At 40.5% G+C, this 22,642-nt stretch overlaps 1 long non-coding RNA gene across 12 annotated transcripts in view, besides 1 other annotated feature; it reads right to left on the bottom strand.

Annotated features, from left to right (window-relative positions):
- LOC102724036 (uncharacterized) overlaps positions 1–22,642 on the bottom strand; it is a 247,231-nt gene that overhangs the window by 85,729 nt on the left and 138,860 nt on the right. For 6 of the 12 annotated variants that reach the window (XR_007061623.1, XR_007061626.1, XR_007061624.1 and 3 more), the window contains 2 exons: positions 13,695–19,069; positions 13,249–13,390 (listed from right to left, as the gene is read on the bottom strand). The exons of 1 other annotated variant lie outside the window; for it this stretch is intronic. This is a non-coding gene — a long non-coding RNA (uncharacterized LOC102724036). Of the gene's footprint in view, positions 1–11,078; positions 11,692–13,248; positions 19,070–22,642 lie in introns of those variants that run through there. 5 more of the 12 variants (XR_930038.2, XR_930042.2, XR_930035.2 and 2 more) reach the window with 4 other exon arrangements.
- Positions 386–1,142: an enhancer, noted in NCBI's record as "NANOG hESC enhancer chr9:87185076-87185832 (GRCh37/hg19 assembly coordinates)". NCBI's record gives its function as "activates a minimal SCP1, AML or CMV promoter by ChIP-STARR-seq in naive H9 embryonic stem cells {active_cell/tissue: H9 hESC(naive)}" and the evidence as "EXISTENCE:reporter gene assay evidence [ECO:0000049][PMID:30033119]".

The raw sequence follows: 22,642 nt of genomic DNA, 5'->3' as shown, positions 1-22,642 counted from the left end.
CCCTCCCTTGGGACTCTCTGCCTCTCCTTATTCCTCCTTGCTATCATCTTGCAAACTGAATGCTGAAGCCTTTCTCTGCTCAGTCACTGCTGAACCTGGAGAGGACATCTGTGAGGCCTGGCCACAGGGTGAAGACAAAAGTATTGGTGTTGAATTTCAGCCCAATCTCTCCACCAGTATAGGCTGTAGGTGACTTCTCCACTGGTTTAGCTCACCAAGGAGAGTATAGTCATTCCTAGATTCAGCACTGCTTAGCCCGATATGAGGGAGGACTTTCTCCTGACAGCAGGGCTGTGACTATTCATAGTAAACCATCCTTTCATCCTTGGGCTGAGGATCATTTGGCACTGTGCCAGGTCTAATGTAGAAGAACCACTAGGCCCACTATTAACATAACAGATTTCCATGGACATCTTGGAGAAGTGACATGACACGACCTTTGATTCTGTAGGAGAAGGGCAGTTGAGGGACAGGAAAGAGGCTCTGCAGTTCATCCTAATGCACCCTTCCTCCAGCTCCTCCTTGCAGGCTGGGCCAGGAGACAATTGAGCTGCAAACATCATGCTGCCCTGAGGTGGGGCCCTCAGTTCTGGGCCAGACTTGTCTGCCTGATTCCTTCTAACCTGAGGCTGTGCTCTCTCCAGGTAGAAGTTCCTATCTCCTGAGCAAACAGATGGCCAGAGGCCTTGAGCACATCAGTAAAGCTTTGAAGTTTCTTGTAAAGGTCTTTAACCTTGCACTTCTTGGAAGGTAGAGAAATAAACCTTTTGTTGTGGTTATTGCTGCATTAGTGGGGACTGTTGTTTTTAACCACTCTGATGGTTCTCTAGGGCTCTGTTCCCAGGGATACTAATGTTTCTACACTAAGCAGCCCTGAGGGGTGTGTGTGTGTGACCTTTTTTCAGCACCGAAAGAAAGAACTCTTTGGGTGATTATTTTTGTTTGTGTTTGGAGACAGAGTTTCACTCATCACCCAGGATGGATTGCAATGGCATGATTTCAACCCACTACAACCTCCGCCTCCCAGGTTCAAGAGAGTCTCCTGCCTCAGCCTCTCGAGTAGCTGGGATTACAAGTGCCTGCCACCACATCCAGGCTAATTTTTATATTTCTAGTAGAGACAGGTTTTTGCCATGTTGGCCAGGCTGGTCTTGAACTCTTGACTTCAGTTGATCCACCTGCCTCAGCCTTCCAAAGTGCTGGGATTACAGGCATGGGCCACCGTGCCCAGCCTCTCTGTGGGTCATTCTTAACCTCAGCCCTATGTCTAGACCTCCCACATGAGAATCAGAAGCCCCACAGGGACTTCCTACTGCCACCCTTGCTCCTTAGGCAGTGAAGCCATTGTCCTAGCCGAGCCTCCTTAAGTGCTATGGGAACTCCTTTCGATCCCTTCAGGTGAGGAGGAGAGGAGCAGTAGCTCTCCTGAGCTCAAAAGTACTATCCTGAGGTTGAGGCCACATGGGTTGGGCACATAGCCTTTGCCTCCAACCCATCTTCTTTTTCCTCCCCCTGAGTCCTCAGGTTCTTCTGACTGGCCTCCTCCCTGAAAACCATCCAGCCATTTCCCACCCACCAGCTCTGACCCTTACTCCCAAGCCAAAGACAGGACAGAATGGAAGAGGGTCAGTTCCTGACCAGGGACTTGGGTGTGCCCTCCCCACCATCCTGGAACCTGAGGTGCAGGTTGGCAGGAAAGAGATGGCTGCAGACCAAGTGGGCTGAACAGACAAGAGGGTCGGGTGGAAGACCAGGAAGGTCCAAGGAAGACAGCAGGGAGATGGAACACAGGGGAAGGTAGGCTGATCCATGCCAGACACTAAGTGCCCATGCTGGGAGCAGCTTCTTACATTCTAGCATAAACTTGGGAGCTCCAGTGAGTTTATTCTGTTATAACATGCTGCCCTCAAAATCACCTCAGATGACTGACCTCAGGTCCTGCCCCCTTGTGTGGGGCATGATCTGGGGGATTGATTTGGCATCTTTTCTTAGGCATGATTCTGATGCACACAGTCATGAGGGGAGACTGCATCAGTTTCCCGTGGCTGCTATAACAAATTATTACCATGAACTTGGTGGCTTAAAGCAGCTCACAGTTATTCACTTACAGTTCTGGAGGCCAGAAGTCAGAAGTCAAATTCACTGGCCTAAAATCATGACATCAGTAGCGCCACAGTCTCTCCAGAGTCTGGTGGGCAGAGAATCTGTTTCTCTGCCTTTTCTCACTTGGAGGCTGCTGCATTCCTTGTGCTCCTGGGCTCCATGGTCCTTTCCTCCATCTTCAAAAGCAATTGTGTGGCATCTTCACGTCTCCTCCTGCTTCCATTGTGGTCACAGTGTCTTCTTCCTCTTCTGTGTCAAATATCCCTCTGCTTCCTTCTTAGAAGGACTCTTGTGATTTTATTTAGTGCCCGTTCAGATCACCCAGGATAATCTCCCCATGTCAAAACCTTTCACTTAACAACATCCACACAGGACCTTCTTCCATATAAGATAACATTCCCAGATCCCAGAGATTAGGACTTAGTTATCTTTGAGGGCAATTATTCAGCTGTCATATAGGCCTCCCCACCTCCCTCTCAGGCCTGGAAAGGGGATCAGATTCATGAGAGGACTGGCTAATAACGGCAGGATTCGAACTCATGTCTTTTGGCCTCTGAAGCCCAAGCTTTTCCTACACCATCATATTGCTTCTTATGAAATAGTTGTGAACTTCTGTATCTAGGGGTTTAGACATTTACCCAGGATCCCCAAAATGGAAATAGATTCCTGAGCTCCAGAGCCCCTTAGAAGCAAGTGCCTGCTGCCTGCCGCGAGGGTACAGGCACCCCCGCAGTCCCTCCTGTGGCCACAGCCATCTGCCAGCTCCCTGCAGTGCAGGCTAAGTCATTCCAAACCTCTAATGGTCATGGGAAGAGGGACTGGGTGGCCAGTAGAGCTTCATCACAGCCTTAAAAACACAAATGGTGTCAGTTACCCTACGAGGAGCGGGTCAGGTGTACTGTTTTCGCTGAGGCAAGAGAGCACATTATACATTATAAAAATACGTGGGTCGGCTAAATGCTAAGTCAAATAATACTATAGCCATGGTGCTGCCTTTTTATGTGTCATCACATGTAAATCCTCATTTTATTAATCTCACAAGCATTCTATTTACCTCTCTAAGTCCTTCCCAGAGCTGCAATTTTTGCCATCTGTGTGAACAAAGCAAATGCAAGCAGTGTCTAGCTTACAGTTACTCGGAATTTCCAGTAAACATAAATTCACATGGATTCTAAGAGCTTTTTCCTGCTGCTATTGTTGTTATACAAAGACTACCCAGATTGACTCATAAATACTGTTGCCTAAGATGAATCTCCAAGCAATGCAGGGAAGTGTTGGCAATAATATTCCATTCTGAAGGGATTGTTTTTCCATCAGCCAGGTGTACTTAGCTTTACAGGAGAAGCATTCCTAAAGAGTTGACTATACTGTTTATTTTGTAAAGCCAATCTCATTTTAACATTGATTTCCATTATGTCAGAGACGTTCTCCCAAATCTTTTGCTATTATTGCTTAGTTGCGATGACTGTGCAAACAAGAAGAAAGGAAAAAAGTGAGTTTCTTAAGGACCAGCTGCCTACCTGGAAAGGACAGTTCAACAAGCAGCTTTAAGCTGCAGAACATTTCTAAGTCACTCCTAGGAAATGACCCAAGGCTGCTTCCAATTGAGACAATCTTCAATTCCTGCGTATTCTGTGAATTTGACGGTGAGATGAGGGGACATAGACATGTCACGGAGAGATAGCAAACCAAGGTATACTTTTGTTTCAGCAGAGGTGCAGGGGCCGAGGATGGCTCAGATGATGCAGGAAGACATGTGGGGCACCTGTCACAATGACCAGATTCTTTAAATTAGGAAGGCAGAGGGGTGCAATGGAAAGAGTTGGAAACTGGTAAAAGATCCGATGAAGATGAAACGCAGATTCCATTCTGGCCTAGTGTCCTCATCCTCAGGCAAGTCAGATACATCTCTGAGCCTATTCCTCATTTGTAAAAGAAGGGTAAAAATACTTACCTAGCAGGTGGTTGTGAGGATTAGACGTAATCTAGAACAGAGATTGGCAAATTTTTTCTGTAAAGGGCCAGATACTAAATGTTTTAGGGTTGGGGGGGATATGTGGTCTCTGTTACAACTAAACTATGCTATTGTAGCACAAAAGCAGCCACAGACAGTATGGAAATGAGTGGGTGTGGCTGTGTTCCAATAAAACTTTATTTATAAAAATGGGCAGCAGGCTGGATGCCACCTAAGGGCCATAGTTTGCCAACCACCTCATCTAGAACGTGACTACTACACACCCCCTGGTTGGGGTCCTGGGCCTGGGCCCATTGTCCCCAGATCCATTCCTTGTCCTCCCGTGCACCTCTCTGGATAACTGTTGGGGTGGAGCAGGGAGGCTGACACCTGCAAACTACAATTCCCATCCTCTCTTGCCTCAGTGAAAACAATACTCCTGACCCACTCCTTGTAACTGACACCTTTTGTTTTTAAGGCCATGATGCTCTACTGGATGGATTTAGGAGATGGATTTAGCCAATAGGAGGCACCAGTGGGAGTCTGGAGGTGGGAGAGCTCTCTGGTCAGCCTGCAAATCCAGCAGGGCTAGAGCGCACCTCCCTCCGCAGTCCCAGGAGCACCATTCTTCACTTTTCCTCCACCCACCTAGGGGTGGTAGCGGCTAATCTCTGGGCAGCCTCACCATGGCTTTCTAGCTCTCCTGGCCTCTTTATAACTAGCTCTCCATATTCAATCGTGTCCATTGAACTATTTGTGGCTTGAGCTTTTCCATTTTTATGACTGGACCCTGACTAAAAGTTTTATGCTATTTATTCATCTTAGCACTCTGAATGTTTTTAATTTTAGGAGGTAACAGTTCTGCAAATAGGTTCTTACACGGTTTTTATGAGAAAAGCAGAATGTTAGTCATTTAGTCAACAAGAATATAATAAGCACCTGCTGTTTGCCAGGACCTGTTCCAGACCCTAAGAATACAATTCTGAACCCAGAGGTCTGCAGTCTAATAAACTCGTTGACTTTAGCCATCAGGTACCCAACCCAACCCTTCATATTATACATGACAAAAAAAAAAAGACCCGAAAGATAACCATAGCTAATGTTTATGAGGAATGTAATTTCTTCTAGGCTCTCCATTAATCATTTTGCATGAGTTAACTCAACTCTCATAACAGCCCAATGATGTAAGCAGTATTATCATCTCCATTTTACAGAAAAAAAAAAAAAAAAAAAACCAAAACCAAAAACAAAACAAAACAAAACACTGAAGCATGGAAATGAAGTAACTTGTCCAAAAATATACAGCTCAAAAGTGACGGAGCTGGGATTTGAACCCAGGCAATCTAGGTTCATGTCTCAAGTTCTTAATCATACCATATATTTCCTCCCTCCCAAAAGAGCGAATGATGTGTTCAAAGCCATGATTAGTGGCACAGTCATGACAAGCACCAGATTCTCGAGTTCTAATTATACGTTCCAACCATTAGTGAGCTGGCCACTAATATCATTCCTAAGACAACAGCCATCCTCTAGAAGAAGTGACAAAAAGTCATTATCTCTCTCTTTACAGTCTTTAATATATGCTATTAATGAAAAGTAATTATTGGATGCAAAATTCATTCAGGAGCCTGCTACATCAGCCATCAACAAAACACTTTGCAAAATGTCCTAAAACTAACAAACAGGGAAAATCATATAATCAGAACTTGGTAAGTGGAAGATCATCTACTTAAGTGGTTTTGAAAACGTTTAAGCCTTGTAACCCTTTCCTCAAATAAAAGCTTTTCAGGAACCCCAGTAAGTAAAACAGTGAACACACCGAAGCAGACCTGCTCTGCTTGGGATGGTTTAAAGATGCTAGAATTCCCCTCTCTCTGCCCTATCTCCACTTCCCAGCAGCCCCCTGAGCGGACTCCAAAGACCCAAGAGACCAGGGATTGTTTTTGCTTTTGTTTTTGTGTTTTGGTTTTTTTGAGACAGGGTCTCACTTTGTCACCCAGGCTAGAATGCAGTGGTGCAATCATAGCTCACTGCAGCCTCAAACTCCCGGGCTCAAGCAACCCTCCTGCCTCAGCCTCCAAGTAGCTGGGACTACAGTCACATGCCACTATGCTCACCAAGAGCCCAGTTTTGAAGCCATCATACTAGTTCACCCCAGTTTCTCTGAACCCTTGAGAGGTGATGAGTCTTGCCCAAGGTCATTCAGTGAGGTCATGCCAGAGTCAAGGTCAGAGCCCAAGCTCTAAGTCCTCTCTGATGCTCTTTTGACATCCCCACTGCGTGCTCTGTTGACTTGGTTTTCCAGGAACTGTAAATATTTCTGCAGCAGGCAATAGTGTGTGCCTTTCTGAGTGCATCTACATGGGCAGCAATAAAAGAAGCCAGGATGCCCAGCAGGGGGAGGATAAATAGAGCAGGGCATTGGCAGACTTGATGGAGCAGACCTCATTTCTGAGGTCTAACCATCCTCAGCTACATGGTCAAGGCTGCAGTGAGATAGGCAGAGAAGAAAACACCTCTCTGATCTACTTGGCATAGCACTGGAAACTTCTCAGCAAGAAGCCTTTACCGAGATATCAAAAGCCGGCGTTCCTAAGATTGCTGTGAGTGCGTGAGTTGTCGATGCAAATCTGCGTCCCCAGGCTTGCTGCTCACAGCTGTTTTTATGGCATGACAGAGGGCTCCTACAGTGTTTGAGTCCAGAATCAGAGGGGATCCGCTGGCTTCCATGCTGTAGTGGCTTTTATACATTCCACGTTTCTCTTAGGCTTTCCCTTAATGTAACCAACAACCATCAGCTGCCATTTAGACTTCATGGGGGTTCCCAGATCTCAGCGTAGAGAAAGAGAAGCCATGGAAACCCCAAGCTTTGAGACAGCTCTCTTAGCCTAGGAGGTCAACTACTCAGACACAAATCCTTGATAGTAAGCAGGGGAGGGTGGGATATAGGCAGCAGAGTGATAATTTTTCCAGGGATCTTTTTGTTATCCAGGGATACACATTCCAGTGTGATGCCCAGAGCAAGGTCATTGAAGGTCATCATCATAAAGCAAAGGGATTTAACTTCCAAAATCACCAGCCAGGCTTTACATCTGTAGATGCATACCTCTGTACAGATCTCCAAAATAAATTATATTATCCCAAATTTACCCACTGCAGACACCAAAGTGAGGTCCATTGTTCCTCTTCTCTGAATGGTTTATTTCCTTTGCAATTAAGGGCTGGTTGAAAACTCAGGAGTTGTGCTTGAATTACCATGAAGCCAAGTCTTAGAAAGACATAAGGGACTGACAGTTTTCCATTTATGGATTAGACACTCATTATTTTTCTGGCTTTTAACAGCTTTTCAATCTAACTTGTCATTCCAATGTTCTTCCCATTCCAAGATGACAGTGCAAATTGGATATAGACTGTGCATTTAGAGCTGTCCTTCCAGAAACCCTGAGTACCTAATGGTTTGTGAGGTTATTGGCTTGTTTTGTTGCCTTTTCTAGTAAATTCTTTTGAAAATTCCAGGAAATTGGTTAAGTTCATGTCTGAAAGAGGAAAAAAAGTCAATGTCTTAAATCGTTTTCTTTTCTTTTAGGGTGTTGCCCCATGGGAATGCTCATCATCAGATTTGGCCAAGGGTCTGTTATTGTCTGCCTTTCTCTCCTATTTCAAATGCTCCCACTTTCTTTTGTCTGAGACCTTGATATACTGCAAGTCTGACTTTGAAAAATTCCATTCAATGGCCAATGCCCAGGGCCCACAGCACAGCAGGCACCACACTGTCACCCTCTATGCAACCTAATCATCATTCCCTTCCAGGCTCTTCCCTTCCTAAAAAGGTGCAAGTGGAAATTAGCAGTTGTTGTCTCTACTTGATGAGATTTGGGGAAGATTTTAATTTTCTTCTTCTTTATTTCCGTGGAATAAAGGAAACACTCTCCTTATCTTTGTGATCATCGTTTCCTTGCATTTTGTTCTAATTCTACCACCTACTTATACATCCCTAAGCAAGCAACTGTTTAGCATTGCCCATTTTGAAATTTTACATAGAAGTAATCATATTTTGTTTTAAAGTTTATTAAATAAAGGACAAAAATGTGATGACGCAGAGGAAGCTGTCTAGAATTACGCTGTTCAATATAACAGCCACCAACCACACGTAGCTATTGAGAACTTGAAATGTGTCCAGTACAAATTAAGATGAGCTGTAAGTACAAAGTGCACAACAGATTTTGAAGACATATTTTAGTATAAGAAAAGGAACAAAATATCTCATTAATACTTATATGTAGATGATGTATTTAGATAATAGTATTTATATATTATTTTCAATTAAATATACTATTAATATTAATTCCAACTTTTTTTTTTTTTTTTACTTTTTAATAGTGGCTTCTAGAAAATTTTAAGTTATATATGTGGCTCATACTATATCCTTATTGGACAGCTCTGGTATGCAACCTTTCTGAATTTTTTGTATCCAAAATTCCTACAGAACTGCAATTTTAAACAACATTTGAGAATTATTGGACCTCTATTTTAAGCCAATTATTTTCCTGTTGTTGTTGTTTGGTTCCATTTTGACTAACTCCTCTTAGTCTAACTCCTCACCTTACAAAGCACCTCTCACACCCCTGCATTTCTCTCTTAAAACTCCCCACCCATCAACCCAAATAAATATGTACCAATTTCTCAATGCCCTTGGCAAATGACCAGTGTTCTCACCCTCCAATTCCTCCACCTTCCCTTCTTTCCTCATGCCACACTTCTGGCCACAGCACACCTGTGTTCCTGCACCTCGGGTCTCGCTCCCCAACCTTCACCCAATTTTCTCATCAAAACCATCCCAAGGCTTTGGCTCATGTGTGCGAGATCACGGCAGTATCAGTCACAGCCACATCACCATCCCAACAAGACTTTTCACTCTCCATACAAAAAAAGGCTTGACATCTTAAAACAAAGCAAAACAGAACAAAAGGTAAACCAAAGAGCCTCATTGTCACTTTTGTTCTCTAGCAAATTATTTTTTTCTGAAAAAAATTAATCTTTATTTTTGTATTTTGTAAGATGTTTCCATTCTTTGCATTCATATGTGCATAGAAAGTTCATACTGTACTAAATCAAGAAGTGATTTCAAGCTCATCTCATCGTATTCTACGATTTTATAGAGAGGAAACTGAGGATCAAATTATTAATGCATTTGCGTAGCCCACATGAGGGCAATAGTCCTTAGAAATCACTTATCTTCAAAGCCATTTTATAAAAATCAGATTCAGAAAAAAAGGCAAAAAGAAAAACAAATGAAAAATGATCTCTTTACTCCCTCATATACCTGACTCAAATACCACTTGCTCAGATGTAATGAAGTATTTTCATTTATTTTAAAGTGTACAAACTCCATTTAGCCATGATGAATCGTGAAGCCTTTGGGATGGGCTTAGGATGATCCCACATATTGGAGTTTTCCTTGTCATTGGAATTTTCCTTGTACATGGAAATCAGGGATTAAGAACCCAATTAAAGCCCAAATTACCCTCAGAGCTTGCTGAGGGTCAGGCTGAGGCCTCCATTCTTCTGGCCTCTGCCTCGATTTTCCTTGCCTATATAAAATTCTCACAACTCTCACCATCACCTGTAGTTAGATCTATAGTACGAGTCGGAGATCACATAATGCTAAAAACTTCATACCATCAAACCATCAATCTTTATGTTGGAAAAAAGAAAAAACAAAAAAAGCTCAGAAATCTTCTAGCTCAACCTGAACCCAATTCTGTGAACTTCTTTGTAGTAATCTGGATGCACTGTCCAATCTCCGTAGTCAAGGTCCAGTTATAGGGAGGTTACTGACACACAAAACATGCTCTTCTGTTTTCTAGTAAGTTTTTTAAAGAGACAAATAATCTATCTTGGTGCCCCTGAAATCTTAACACACAACATAGGAAGCTCTCTCTGATTATGTATAACCTTTGGGCAACTGCTTCTCCTCTCTGCAGCCCAGATTCCTCGTCTGCGCAGGGGGACTCTTGTACCCAGTGATTCTCAGGGTTTCCTTAGGGATAATGTTTTAATCAACAAGAAGTTGGTTGTTTGGTTCATATTATCTCAGTCTCAATTTCCTCATCAGCAAAACCAGAACAATAGTAGGACTTACCCTGTTTATAATGCTAAGCCCATTACAGGACACTTATTTCAGACAAGCATGCTGGTTTGTGCAGACCGTAACAACTCCTTGAGGACATATTGTGTCCATTTTAATGTATGCTTAAACTCAGCAGTTATTTCTGCAGAAAAGTGCCCTGAATTTATTTTTACTCCCTTGGGTCAGGTCTTCTTTCAATTTCTTCTCTTCCTGTTTAGCTTAGGGTCAGTTTCCAGTGGCAATGTGTAAGGTGGCATCACAGTTCATGAAGACTCTTCTCAGCTCTCCTCCATCACCCATTATTTTTCTGCCCAATAGCCATCTGGATGTATACTCATCAGACCCAATACAAGTGAAGACTGAATCTTAGCTCATCCTCTTGCTCACTTTGGAGATACTGCCTCAACGTTTGTCAAGCATGAAATCCTATAGTAATCTGAGATAATTTTCCACCCCATCCAAACCCTCTAAGTGCACTGTCCAATATGGCAGCCACCAGCCACAAGAGGCTGCTGAGTTCCTTATGTGTGGCTAGTCCAAACTGAGATGTGCTGAAAGTATAAAATTTTCCCCAGATTTCAAAAAGGTAAGCACAAAAATAAAAAGTGAATGTAATATATTTCATTAAAAACATTTATATTGATTACAGTGTGAAATGAAAATATATTATTAGGTTAAATAAAATAGATTATTAAAATTAATTTTATCTGTTTATTTTACTTTTTAAATGAATCTACCAGAAAAAAATGTTAAGTCACGCATATAATTTGCATTATATTTCCATTGGATAGTGCTGCATTTACAATTATCAGCTTTTGTTACTCTCAACTCTGGAATGATATCACAGAACCTTGCTTTCAAACTACTACAGCCAGTAAATTGAATGGACACTTTGGAGGTAAAAATACAGCAGGTTTATTGTGTTTTCCCCTTGTCTTTTAACTTTCTCAGTAGGTCTAGTTTTCACCCTGCCCCCGGATGAATACTTGACATTTTGGCCACTCGTAGGTAACAGAAAATCTTAGTCATTTGAGTCACAAAACACAGTCTCAATTTCTACTTAGAATTCCAAACACACAAACTAGTAAAGGCTTCCAACTTCATTCAAGGTTTCAGGGATTTGCCCTCCCCTCGCTAGAATCCACTGTTAAAAAGAAAAAGAAAAACCTGCAGTCAGGGAGGGGGCCGGGCTATCCTCTTCCTTCCTCAACTCCTTTTCTCCAACTTGCTAACGGAGGTTTCTCCTTTCCCCAGTGTTGGGGTGCAGGCAGGGAAGGAGGCAGGACCCATTGAGAGCAGGCTGAGGGCTTTTAAAACTGACTCTTCCTTGCAGAGAGAGATTCCATGAGCTTTGCTGGGGACCAAGCTCCTAAAATTCCTTTGGTGTAGTTGATGTTTTCTCCAACTTTTTGCTACTCTTTCTGCAGCCCCAAGGAATCCACTAGTATGCTTTTAACTTCTCTCTGATGAGACTTCTTCACTATTTTCTTAATAGCAAATTTTGCTGAAATATAACAAACTTAATAAATGCAGAAATCATAAGCATGCTACTAGAAATGTCTCAAGTGAGTAAGCCTCTGTGACTACCACCTAAATCAACAATTAGTCTGTTTCCTTTTTTAATGGCCCTCTTGGACAAGGTCTAAAATGCCAGCCCTGTCTCTGGTGTGGCTACACCTGGTCCTGAGGACACTCATGTACCCTTCACCACCACAAATTCTAGGAGGACATGCCCAGGGCACCAGCAGCCCCTCTGTCACTCCCACCACCAGGGCAGGCAGCAAGCTTTGTTTTCTTCAGGTTCAAATCAGGCATTTGTCTAGCCAGCTGTGGGGGCTCTACATCAAGCTCACTGACTGGACTTGTTGTGCCTGTATCTCCCCTTTCTGTTGGGGGGTAGCACTAGGATTCATAGTATACCAATGATTCTTGCCAAAGAAATCTTTCCTAATTCCTTCCTTCTTCACTGCTCAATGTGGGGGTGGAAGGTGGGCTTTTAACTGGTGCTCAGCTACCTGCTTTCAACATCTGCCTCCCCATCTGGCACATTATTTGGTCTCTTACATCTGTCATCCTAGGGCCTTAGCCAAGATGTCCATTTCAACATGCTGTTTTACCACATGGGCACCTAGTTACGGCTTCTCTATTCTCTCTCCTCCAATTATTAAAAAAGTGGGAGAGAGTAGATAGAATTCCTGCCCACATACTATCTTAAGTTTAAGGCCATGGAAGGTTCGCTTCTTTCCTTCTACTTTTCCACCAAGTTCTGCTTGGATTCAAATGCCTCATCCATGAGGTCCAGGCTCCCACCTGCAGCCACTCAAGGCAGGACAGTAGCCCAAGCAAGGCTGATAGAAGGTGGCTCCTGATCCAAATCCAAGTTCTGCCCTTTACTAGCCTCTCAACGTCCTGGCTCCCAAACTGCAATGATGCCCTTCACTTTGCGGAGTGAAGAAATGGCTAAATCTAGCTAATTAACACATGCATTACCTCACGAAGTTATCATTTTTGTGGTGAGAACATTTAAAATCTACTCAGCGTTTTTTTCAAAAATACAATGTATTGTTATTAACTATAGTCACCATATTGCACAATAGATCTCTTGAATTTATCCCTCCTGTCTAACTGAAATATTGTATCCTTTGACCAACATCTTCCCCTAAAAATCATACACATTTTTGCATAGATTAAAGAGCTTGAAAGACCTTGAGATAGCATCTCCCTGGTCTTGACCATGATGATGATACATGTCAAGTTCAATCTTCCTTATTTTCGGTGTCTTATGTGGCTGAATATCCCCACTTCTAAAACTCAGATTATCTTTTTTATTCACCAAATCAGCATTTGTCTTAGCAGACTCATTTCAAACTATATTGACTACAGCCAAAGAGACAGAAACATGGGGATTGTTTACAGTGCTTTGAACTTGCAATCAGTCCATTTTTTAACCTAGTAATGAATACCCACCATTGTTATTTGGTAGTTTTTTTGCTTGTTTTGGTTTGGGTATTTTTTGCAAAAGAAAATGCCTCACAGTCATCCACCACCACCCTTGACTTACATGTTTCTCTAAGGCTTGCCGCCATCCTCTCCTTCTGGTTTGAGGCTGTTTCTCAGGCAGGGCTATCTGCAGATGCAGCAGAATAGCTGAACAAACAATGAAGGGGCTGTTCAAGAAGCAGACAGGATGCAGTGCTTGGCGTCTGGTAAGGACAGGGAATGTGTCATGAGCCTGTTCGGCCTACTCTAGAATCCCACAAGTTTTCTGAAGTTTTTGCCCGGATAATCCCACTGGAATTGGAAAAATGGTGGCCATGCCCAGTCTATTCCTACAGCTCAGTGCAAATGTTTGCTGCAGAAAAAAATCTACACAGGAAAACTCTGTCCTCAGTCATGGACCCTGGCCAGGGATTGTACAATTGTGTAGTTAGTTAAAAAGAGACCAGGACAAAAAGTATAAGTGGGTCTTATGACCCATCCTCTCAGCTGGGAAAACAACTCATGTACCAGTCCCGCTGACAGTGGGCCATCTCAGGAGGGGACCATCCCACGCTGTGGGGAAGCGTTGCTGGTCCTCCATGGGTCTTTTCAACCACGTTCACACGCCTGGCTGCGGGGTTTCATCCAATGCACCATCAGGAATATGAAAGGCCAGAAGTAGAATAGAAACCAAATAGTCCCTGCGGTCGAGAGGGAGGATGATGTTTGAAAAGCAGTGCAGAGTTGCTTCTTGTCTAGGCCAGTGGCTTACTGTGGTGTAGGGCAAAGGGAAATGCCTGTTACTATTTGTAGGACATAAAACAGCAGTCATAAAACCTAGAATCATCAGCAAAGGACCCGTTGTGATAAAGAACTACAAAATACCTGTGTTTGTTCTTACAGTTTATAGAAGATCCCCAGAGGAAGCCGTGGTCTTACCCCTTGGTTTCTGTCATCCTGATACAGTTTTTAAACTCCAGCATGTGAGTTGGAGGGGAAAGGAGAGGTCACTCCACTGCATCCTTGCCCTGTGTGCCCAGATGGGCATTCTCCACTTACCTTTGCATGCAAGAAACACTTAGGGAACTTCCTCTTCCCATTCTGACTCCACCTACCTAAACCAGTGTGTGTTATATAAGCAGAAATAGGCAATGAGAGACCCTTCCAACACACACACACACACACACACACACACAAGCCTTGGCCTAAAACTCCCAGGGCAATGGGGAACATTTCCCAGCCCAGCCACCATCTGAGTAAAAGTAATTCTTAAATTAGAAAAAAAAAAATTTTTTTTTCATACCTCACACAATGATGTCATGGCAGATCCTTGTGGAAACTGCCTGACATGCAGCAACACGTGTGAAATGGAGGTAAAAGAAAAGATTAATGAAAATACATATTTGAGCTGGTTATTAGAAACAATAACATTTTCAGGAATGAGTCACTTGAGGAAACAATTGATTTGGCTGGGGATAAACACTGCCTCTTAGGTATGCCCTGAGAAGATGTGATCAGAACTTAATTTTAAATTTGAGAATTGTAATAAGAACTTGGTTGCTTAAAATCACTGCCAAAGGAAAGGGAGCCAGCATAAGCCAGCCCCCAGAGGATGAATGATAAAATGTGCTTCACCCTCAGGGTCAGGAGGAGGGGCAAAGGCTAGTTAAATTAGCTAAAGCTAATTTCTACTTGTCTTTTCAAATGATTTAGTGATGGGAACCCTTTGATTATATGGTTGTCTGCCACAAAGGGTGCAAAAATGAGCTCCTGAGATCAGCACTAATGTATGGGGCAGAAAGGAGGGAAAAGTCTCATTTTCTAGCTCCGCGGAGAGCTCTCTGCCTGCTAATGGGCTTTAGTGAGATGTTTGTAACCCGATGCTTTTGGTCTTAATCTTCTCATTTATAGACTGATTTTACATTGCTGGACACTCACTGTGTCTTACTACACAATCGACGACATGACAATTCTCTTGTTGCCCAAGCTGGACTCTAAAATTTGAAACAGCTGATGTTTTCTTTCTGGATGAAAGAACTAAAACACAACTTTGGCACTTAAACTTGGTATGCTACTAAAAGTGTACTCAAATGGGTCTATGTGAACTTTGCAAAGGATAGGAATGGGATAGTCAGACAGGAAATCATTGCATCATGAGCACTGCTAGATGCAGAGCTGGGGAGGAGACCTCAGAAAAGCGCAGCACCCAGCAGGTTGTGCTTGGAAATGAAGACTTTGGAGTGAAGAATCTCTTAGGTGTAAACCTGAGATCAGGAGAAGGCTAATGAAAAAGTGATTTTAGCCCTTATGTCAGATTCATACCAAACTAACAAGGGTCTTTAATTCACATATTATTATAAAGTTTACAAATAAATTATGTCTTGCATAAACTTCCCAGAGATTAAAATTGGCTGTATTACTCTTTCTTTAAAATATTCTATATTAATCTGAAACACAAAAGCAAATGCAATGAGTCACAAAAGAATGAAATCTCAAGGTCAATTAATACTATGTTACTCAAGACTTGCGAGATGCTAAATAAAAATCCCATTATTTTGTGCGTGTATGTTTTAATATCTGCTCCCCTTGCCTGACTACAACTCAATGACCTTCAAATGCAATATCCATTGTTGCAGTTACTTTCATCTTTACCTGAGTGAAGCAGAATCAATGTTCTTGTCCAGCAATTCCAATTAAGCCACTATAGACAACTCTGCTGAATCTGCAAGCTTTGGATTTATATTGAGTTAATGAAAGCTGAAAGGAGTTCCCATATTACAGCCACACTTAACGCATCCTTGTCAAAAGGAAAGGTAATTATAACATTGCACGTACACATTAGGTTGATCAACTTAAGCAAGGTGACAACCATGAATTGATCATGTGAAGGTGTCAATAAAAATCCCACCAGCTGTTATAAAATGTACCACTTTTAGATTATTTAATTCTCTAGAGCCTGGCTGGTTCCGATGATTGGTGAAGAAAAACATTTAGAGTCATTTATTTTCAGGTCAATGTTTTAAATAGACCTATAGGTAGCATCAAAGCCCCATATCAATGAGTTTTTATTATTTAGACAGAACTCAGGTCTTAGTCTAACAATTTATTTCTGTGTAGGTAAATCCAATAAAAAAATTTTAATATTTACATTTAGTATTTGGAATAAAAACAACAATTTTCCTGAAAAAAGCAAGGGAATTGTTAAGATGCAGGCTCTTTGGATGTAGGCGTTAGACACACCATAAAGCATTAGCTTTGCTGATCAATTCTAACATTAGGTTTTGACCTGTTGGATTTAATTAGAGAGAAAAAAAAATCCAAACTTTAAAGTGGTAAGGAAAAAAAAAAAGAGTACATCTGGTTATTTAAGTACTGTCATCAGTTAACCTATGTAATAATGTTGACTGATGGTTGGCAAACTTGACTATTTTTATCAACAATGTATCATGCTAATTCCTTATTTAAGATAGTACCGATAACACACATCTATTCCCTCTTCTCCTTTAAAGTAACAAGGAAAACACAGTCTATAAAGAAGGGCTGCTGACTGCACTGGAAATAGTGCACAGGGAAGGGAGGATTCAGAAAGAGAAACTTGAGCTCTGCAAACCTTGAGCTAACATGAACTTCTCCAGACTAGATGGCCCACTGGAGGGGTAAACTAAAATGCCTTAATTGGCAGAGAAAGGTCAGGATGTGTGGGCAAGTAGAGGGAGCTTCCCACAGACAGGGAGAGCAGCTAATTTTGCAAGAAATAGGGTGTGACTGAGGCTGGATTTACAATAAACCTGGATGACATGCAGAGCTGTGACCTTGGATAAGTGAAGGTAAATAAAATGTAAATTGTCAACCAATGTCTGTGACCAAAGAGCCAGAATTATTTTTCCTTATTAGGGAACAGAATGGTACCAACCCAGCAGGGTGCTGTGACAAGGTATTCAGAGGCCATTTAGCAAATTCTCCTAATATCCCAGCTTATCTCAGCTTCTCCCTACACTTTTTTTCTACAAACAGTTGGTGCAGGAAAACTTCCAGCATTCAATGAGGGGCAAAATCATGGAATTTATGTAAACATACTTAAAGGAACAGAGAGAAAAGTAACATAATGAAACAAGGTCAATAAAGAATATACATCAGAAAATTATGGTAAAATCAGTTTCAGATTATAATCAAACATCTTAATGAAAATCAAAGAAATTAAATGAAGCATGGCCTCACTGGGGAGAAAAAAAGGAGAGCAGAAAGAAAAAACATAAAGGTTCAAGGGGAATTGACTTTTTTTTTTATAAAGGACATGAAGTGATAGAGAAAATCAAAGCATAAAAACATGAAAGTCACATTAGACATAGAAATTACTAAAATGTCAAGAGCATGTAGAAGAAAGCTTAAGAAAATTGAGCATATTGAAAGAAAAAGAACTAGTTTTGTTAATTAACAAAGACTAAATGTTAATTATGGAAGACAGTTAAAGAAGAGCACTCACTGTATTCTGAAGAAGATTAAAAAAAAGTCAAACAGAAAAATTCAAAGATAAAATAGAAGTCTCCCATAACAGCAGTTTAAGTAACTAATTAATTAATGATTAATTTAAAGAAATAAATTTAATTGTTGATTAATTTAAATGATGATTAATTTTCAAGTCCCAGGAAAACAATTTGATACAAGACAGTTTCATAAACCTTTCTAGGAAGAAGTATTATGGTACAAATTGCAGCCATCCAAGAAAATAATAAAGAACATCATTATAAAGTATGGCAGTGACTACTAAATCAACATAAATGTAAAAGTGTAAATACATGTGAAAATTATTGTTACATTACACAATATAAATATCAACAATAATGACAATGTGGAAATAATAACCTAATTAGCAAACAGGGAGAAAGGTTGAGAAAAAAAGTTTATGAGGAAATATTCAAAGAAATAATGATAGAAAAATTTCCAAAATTAAAGAAAAGCATTATTGCAAAAGACTGACAACTCCTCTTAAACGCAAGGAAGACAAATAGACATAAATTAATCCTTATTGCAAAAGGCCAAGAATTCTTCTTTAATAGTGTTAAAGAAGAATTAGGTGAGAGGGTTGACCTTAATAGATACAATAATTTTTAAAAGTGTGTTACTGGCCAGATGTAGATAAATAGTTAATAAAGCAGAATAAAGAGACCAGAAACAAACCAACTATATAGAAAGTGGTAAGCATATAAGAAATATCAATGGAAAAAGAAGGAATATTTAATAAATGGTGTTGGGACAATTATCTATATAAAAAAATTAAATGGAGAACTACTTCACCCTATTCTCCGAGATCATGCTACTACACTCCAGCCTGGGTGACAGAGCAAGACACTTCAGTCTCAAAAAAAAAAAGCAGTTCAGAAGTCATCACTCCCACCTCTACAACAAGAAAAAGCTCAGCAAACTGAATATTAACAACTGTTCTTGGACCCACTATAGAACTGAGGTCACATGAAAAACCACCACATGAAATCAGAAGACACAGGTGAACAGAGAGAATCACAATCAAGATCAACTTACCTGAAGCAACAGCAGTTGGAGCCATAAATTGGTGGGAACATTTAAATAGGAACTTTGACAAATTATGGGGGGCAGCATTTACATTACTGTTAAGAATGAGAAACTCCTGAGGGCTGCAGTCATAGGGGACCCTACACTTCTATGAGTATTACTTTCAGGAACCCAACCAGGCTTTCATAGTAAAGAGTCAAGTAAAGCCTTTGTTTCTGTCAGGGAGAAAGGAAAAGTAAAACATTTTGAATAAACCCGAAGCATTCCCCATAATAATGACTTACTGAGCAAGGGAAGAGAATTCACCAAAACCTCATCAGTGGTGGGAGGAGAGAAGTTAGCTGACTCTACCCCTTCTAGTCTCTTTGTCTCACCTAAGGGTAAAAAATGTTGAGAAACATTTGTGAAGTTCACAGTCCAGGGACACAGGCCCAATAAAAGAGTGATGCTTAGTGATAGGATTATAGAACATTACCTTTCACCCCTCACCTTACCACTATATCAACAGGACTCCAGTATAATAAAAATGGGTTACAGCTAAAAGAGCTACAAGACACAACCCTATTTAGGGAGTTTTCAGGGAATCTCAAACACAAGAGAGGAGCCAAAATGAGGACATTAGAAGAAAATGAAACCTCTGAAACCTACAGCTACAGCAATATTAAATGCAACACAACTTCTAGCCAGGTTAATATAAAATTTCACATGAAAGGTTTACTTAACTCAGTTGTTATTACTCAATATATGATTTCAAGTTTTCAAACGAAAATTACAAGGCATACAAAAAGGCAAGAAAAACACAGTCTAAGGAAACAAAGCAAGCATCACATCAGATTCAGATAGGCAGATATTTTAGAATTATCCAAACCAGGAATTTTTTTTAAAAACTATCATTAATATTTTAAAGGCTCTAAAGGAAAAAGTGGACAACATGCAAGAACAGATGAATAGTATAAGCAAGATGAAAACTCTAAGAAAGAATTTAAAAATGCTAAAAATAAAAAATACTACAGCAGAAATGAAGTGATGGGCTTATCAATAGACAGGACACAGCCCAAGAAAAGAATCAGTAAGCTTGAAGATATATCAGTAAAATTCCCAATCATAAATGCAAAGAGCCTATTTGTCCTCCAGTATTCACTTTTCCCTTCCTCCTCAGGAAAAGAACCCCCAAATTGTACCCAGTTGTCTAGAACAAAGACTATTGTTTCCAGTTTTTATTGCAGCTGGACATGGCCACATATTTAAATACTGGTCAGTGAAGTGCAACTGGAATAAATAAATAAATGTGAACTAAGTCTGAAAAGTGCAGTTACAGGAACAGCGTAGCTTTTCCTCCCTTTTTCTCCTTCCTACTACCTGGGACATGATTGCTGGAAAAAGCAAAAAAAAAAAAGCCATCTTAGACCATAAGGTGACCTCGGGAATAAAAGCCACATAAGCATATAAGCATAAAACAATAAAATAGAAAGAGCCTGGGTCTCTGATGCCAACCAGAACTTAGCAAAAAGTAAACATATCTTGTCTAAGCCATCATTATTTGGTTTAGACAAAGAGAAATTTGCAGCCAAACCTAACAAAATTAATATACTAATTTTTGTTATTTTGAAACATATATTTTTCTCTTTTATATTTCTTCTAAGAAACTTGGAAATAATTGTAGAGTAAAATAGGGTTTACAATTAATCTTTATCCAAATAAGAACAATGTAAGATCTTTAAAATGTTCCTATTATTAGGCTAGGTGCAGTCACTCATGCCTGTAATTCAAGCATTTTGGGAGGCCGAGGCGGGCCTCCTTGCTTGAGACCAGGAGTTCGAGACCAGCCTGGCCAACATGGCAAAACCCTGTCTCTACCAAAAATACAAGTTAGCCAGGTGTGGTGTCACACACCTGTAATCCCAGCTACTTGGGAGGCTGAGGCATGAGAATCTCTTGAACCTGGGAGGCAGAGGTTGCAACGAGCCAAGATCATGCCACTGCACTCCAGCCTAGGTGACAAAGCAAGACTCTGTCTAAAAAAAAAAAAAAAAAAAAGTTCCTATTATTAGAAGATGGTTGCTGTTTAATATATTCTTGGACACAACTGTAATATTTATGTGGTGCTTTCCCTCTTCTTTGTTTAAATAAAATTTTATTATAACCCTATATTTCAGGCAGTGTGGAAGGCAACATTTTCAGTGGAGTGAAGCATAATAGAAGATTTTTTTTTTCACTTATGTACTCATAAACTCAAGAGTCAGGCTCATGGATAAATTAAAACCATCATGCACTACGAGGGCAATCACAGATGCGTGTTATGGGAACACTAATTATTCATGGAGTCAAGGAAGCCTTATGGATCAAAAGGATGAGATATGAGCTAGATCTTAAAAGACAGAGAGTAATTTACCAGGCAGAAACAGAAAGGAAAGGTATTCTAGGAAAAGGGAATCACTGAACTTGAGAGATAGAAGCAAAGCCAGAGAAAGTGCACCGAGAGAGGAAAAGTTGTGTTAGAGTTGGTCCAGAACAGAATTATGTTGTGAGTACAGTTCATCACACAGATAGGATATCAACAAAAAACTCTGAGCTGACTTAAGCTAAATTGAATATTATGGCAGCATATAAAAGATTTATAAAGGCCACTTTAACATGGAAAATTCTAGTGATATAATTTTTAAGTGAAAATGACAGAATTTTGAATTACATATTCAGTGTCATTATAATTCTGGTGAATTGCAATTCTCTGCAGTTCTCTGACGATTTGACTAGGCATCAATAAGAATTGAATCATGCACTTAACAATTGTTCATGTTGGCTGACCGGAAGACTTTTCCCCATATTAACTTTTGGTTCCAAAAACATCAGATCTTGTTTGCTACTCACAATTTTCTGTGCCAGGCATCAAAGGACGTGTGCATACTGCAACACAACTTCTGGCCCCACAACATCAAGTCAGAACACTAGCCAGGTCAGCAGAAAGAAGTCTTCTTGGACATCATTTCCACAGAAGCGACTGTGAACCACTGAAACAAAACCTACCGAAATGCATCCACAACTCATCTTCTCTTAGCCAGATCCCCCCTCAAATGCCTGCTGCCACTTCATTACCACCTGATGTGAGAAGAAGCATAACGGATGAAAGTCTGAGTGGAGAAAGACAGCAGTCTTAACAATTTCAGTTAATTGACCTTACTTCTGCAAAGTTTACAAAAACATGTGACCATGATAACACATTGCTAGTGTCTCTCCCAAGCCTTAAGAGGGTTTTTTACAAGTGAGGGGCACTGAAGTTGCAGATCTATGACTTTCACAGTAAATATGTCTCTGTACTCTGTTTAAAAACAAAGCAAAGCAAAACAAACACACAAAAAAAGCTAATGTACAAAAAAGGGCTGAAAGGAAGTACCCCTAAAGTATTAGCAATGTTTATATTTAGGTGATATAACTGTGGGTGGATTTATTTTTTGTCTACTTTTCTGTTATTATCAAAATTTCTTTGAAAGACTACCTTTTGCTTTGGCATTAAAATGATTAAATTAGTTTAAGTGATATTTCTGGCTTTCTCCATATTACACAAGCTGTAATCTTTGATTTATTTTTTATCAGATAAGGATCACGAAAGATGTTTTAGCTCCCGAAGAATTTCTTCCCTTTAATAAGACATTTCCAGTCTTCTGAATAGTTTATTCACAAGCTATAGCTGCTCCACCAAGTCTTCTCTAAAACACTGCATAGTTGAACATATAGAGTTGCAATACTTACAACTTCATTGATAACCAACAATATGCGATAATAAGGATAAGACTTCCTGACATAGTGCCACAATTCTTACTGATTAAAAGATAAATCTATATGCCAAACTTTCTCCTCTGACATATGTGTGACAAGTTAACAGAAGTAAAATGGCCCTCAACTTTTCTTTCAGGAAACACAAGCATATTTATGTACATGGATGAATCCAA

This window comes from Homo sapiens, chromosome 9, assembly GCF_000001405.40.
Source record: "Homo sapiens chromosome 9, GRCh38.p14 Primary Assembly".
NCBI lineage: Eukaryota > Metazoa > Chordata > Mammalia > Primates > Hominidae > Homo > Homo sapiens.
The sequence above is the reverse complement of the archived record's forward strand: the minus strand, read 5'-3'. Positions and strand labels throughout refer to the sequence as shown.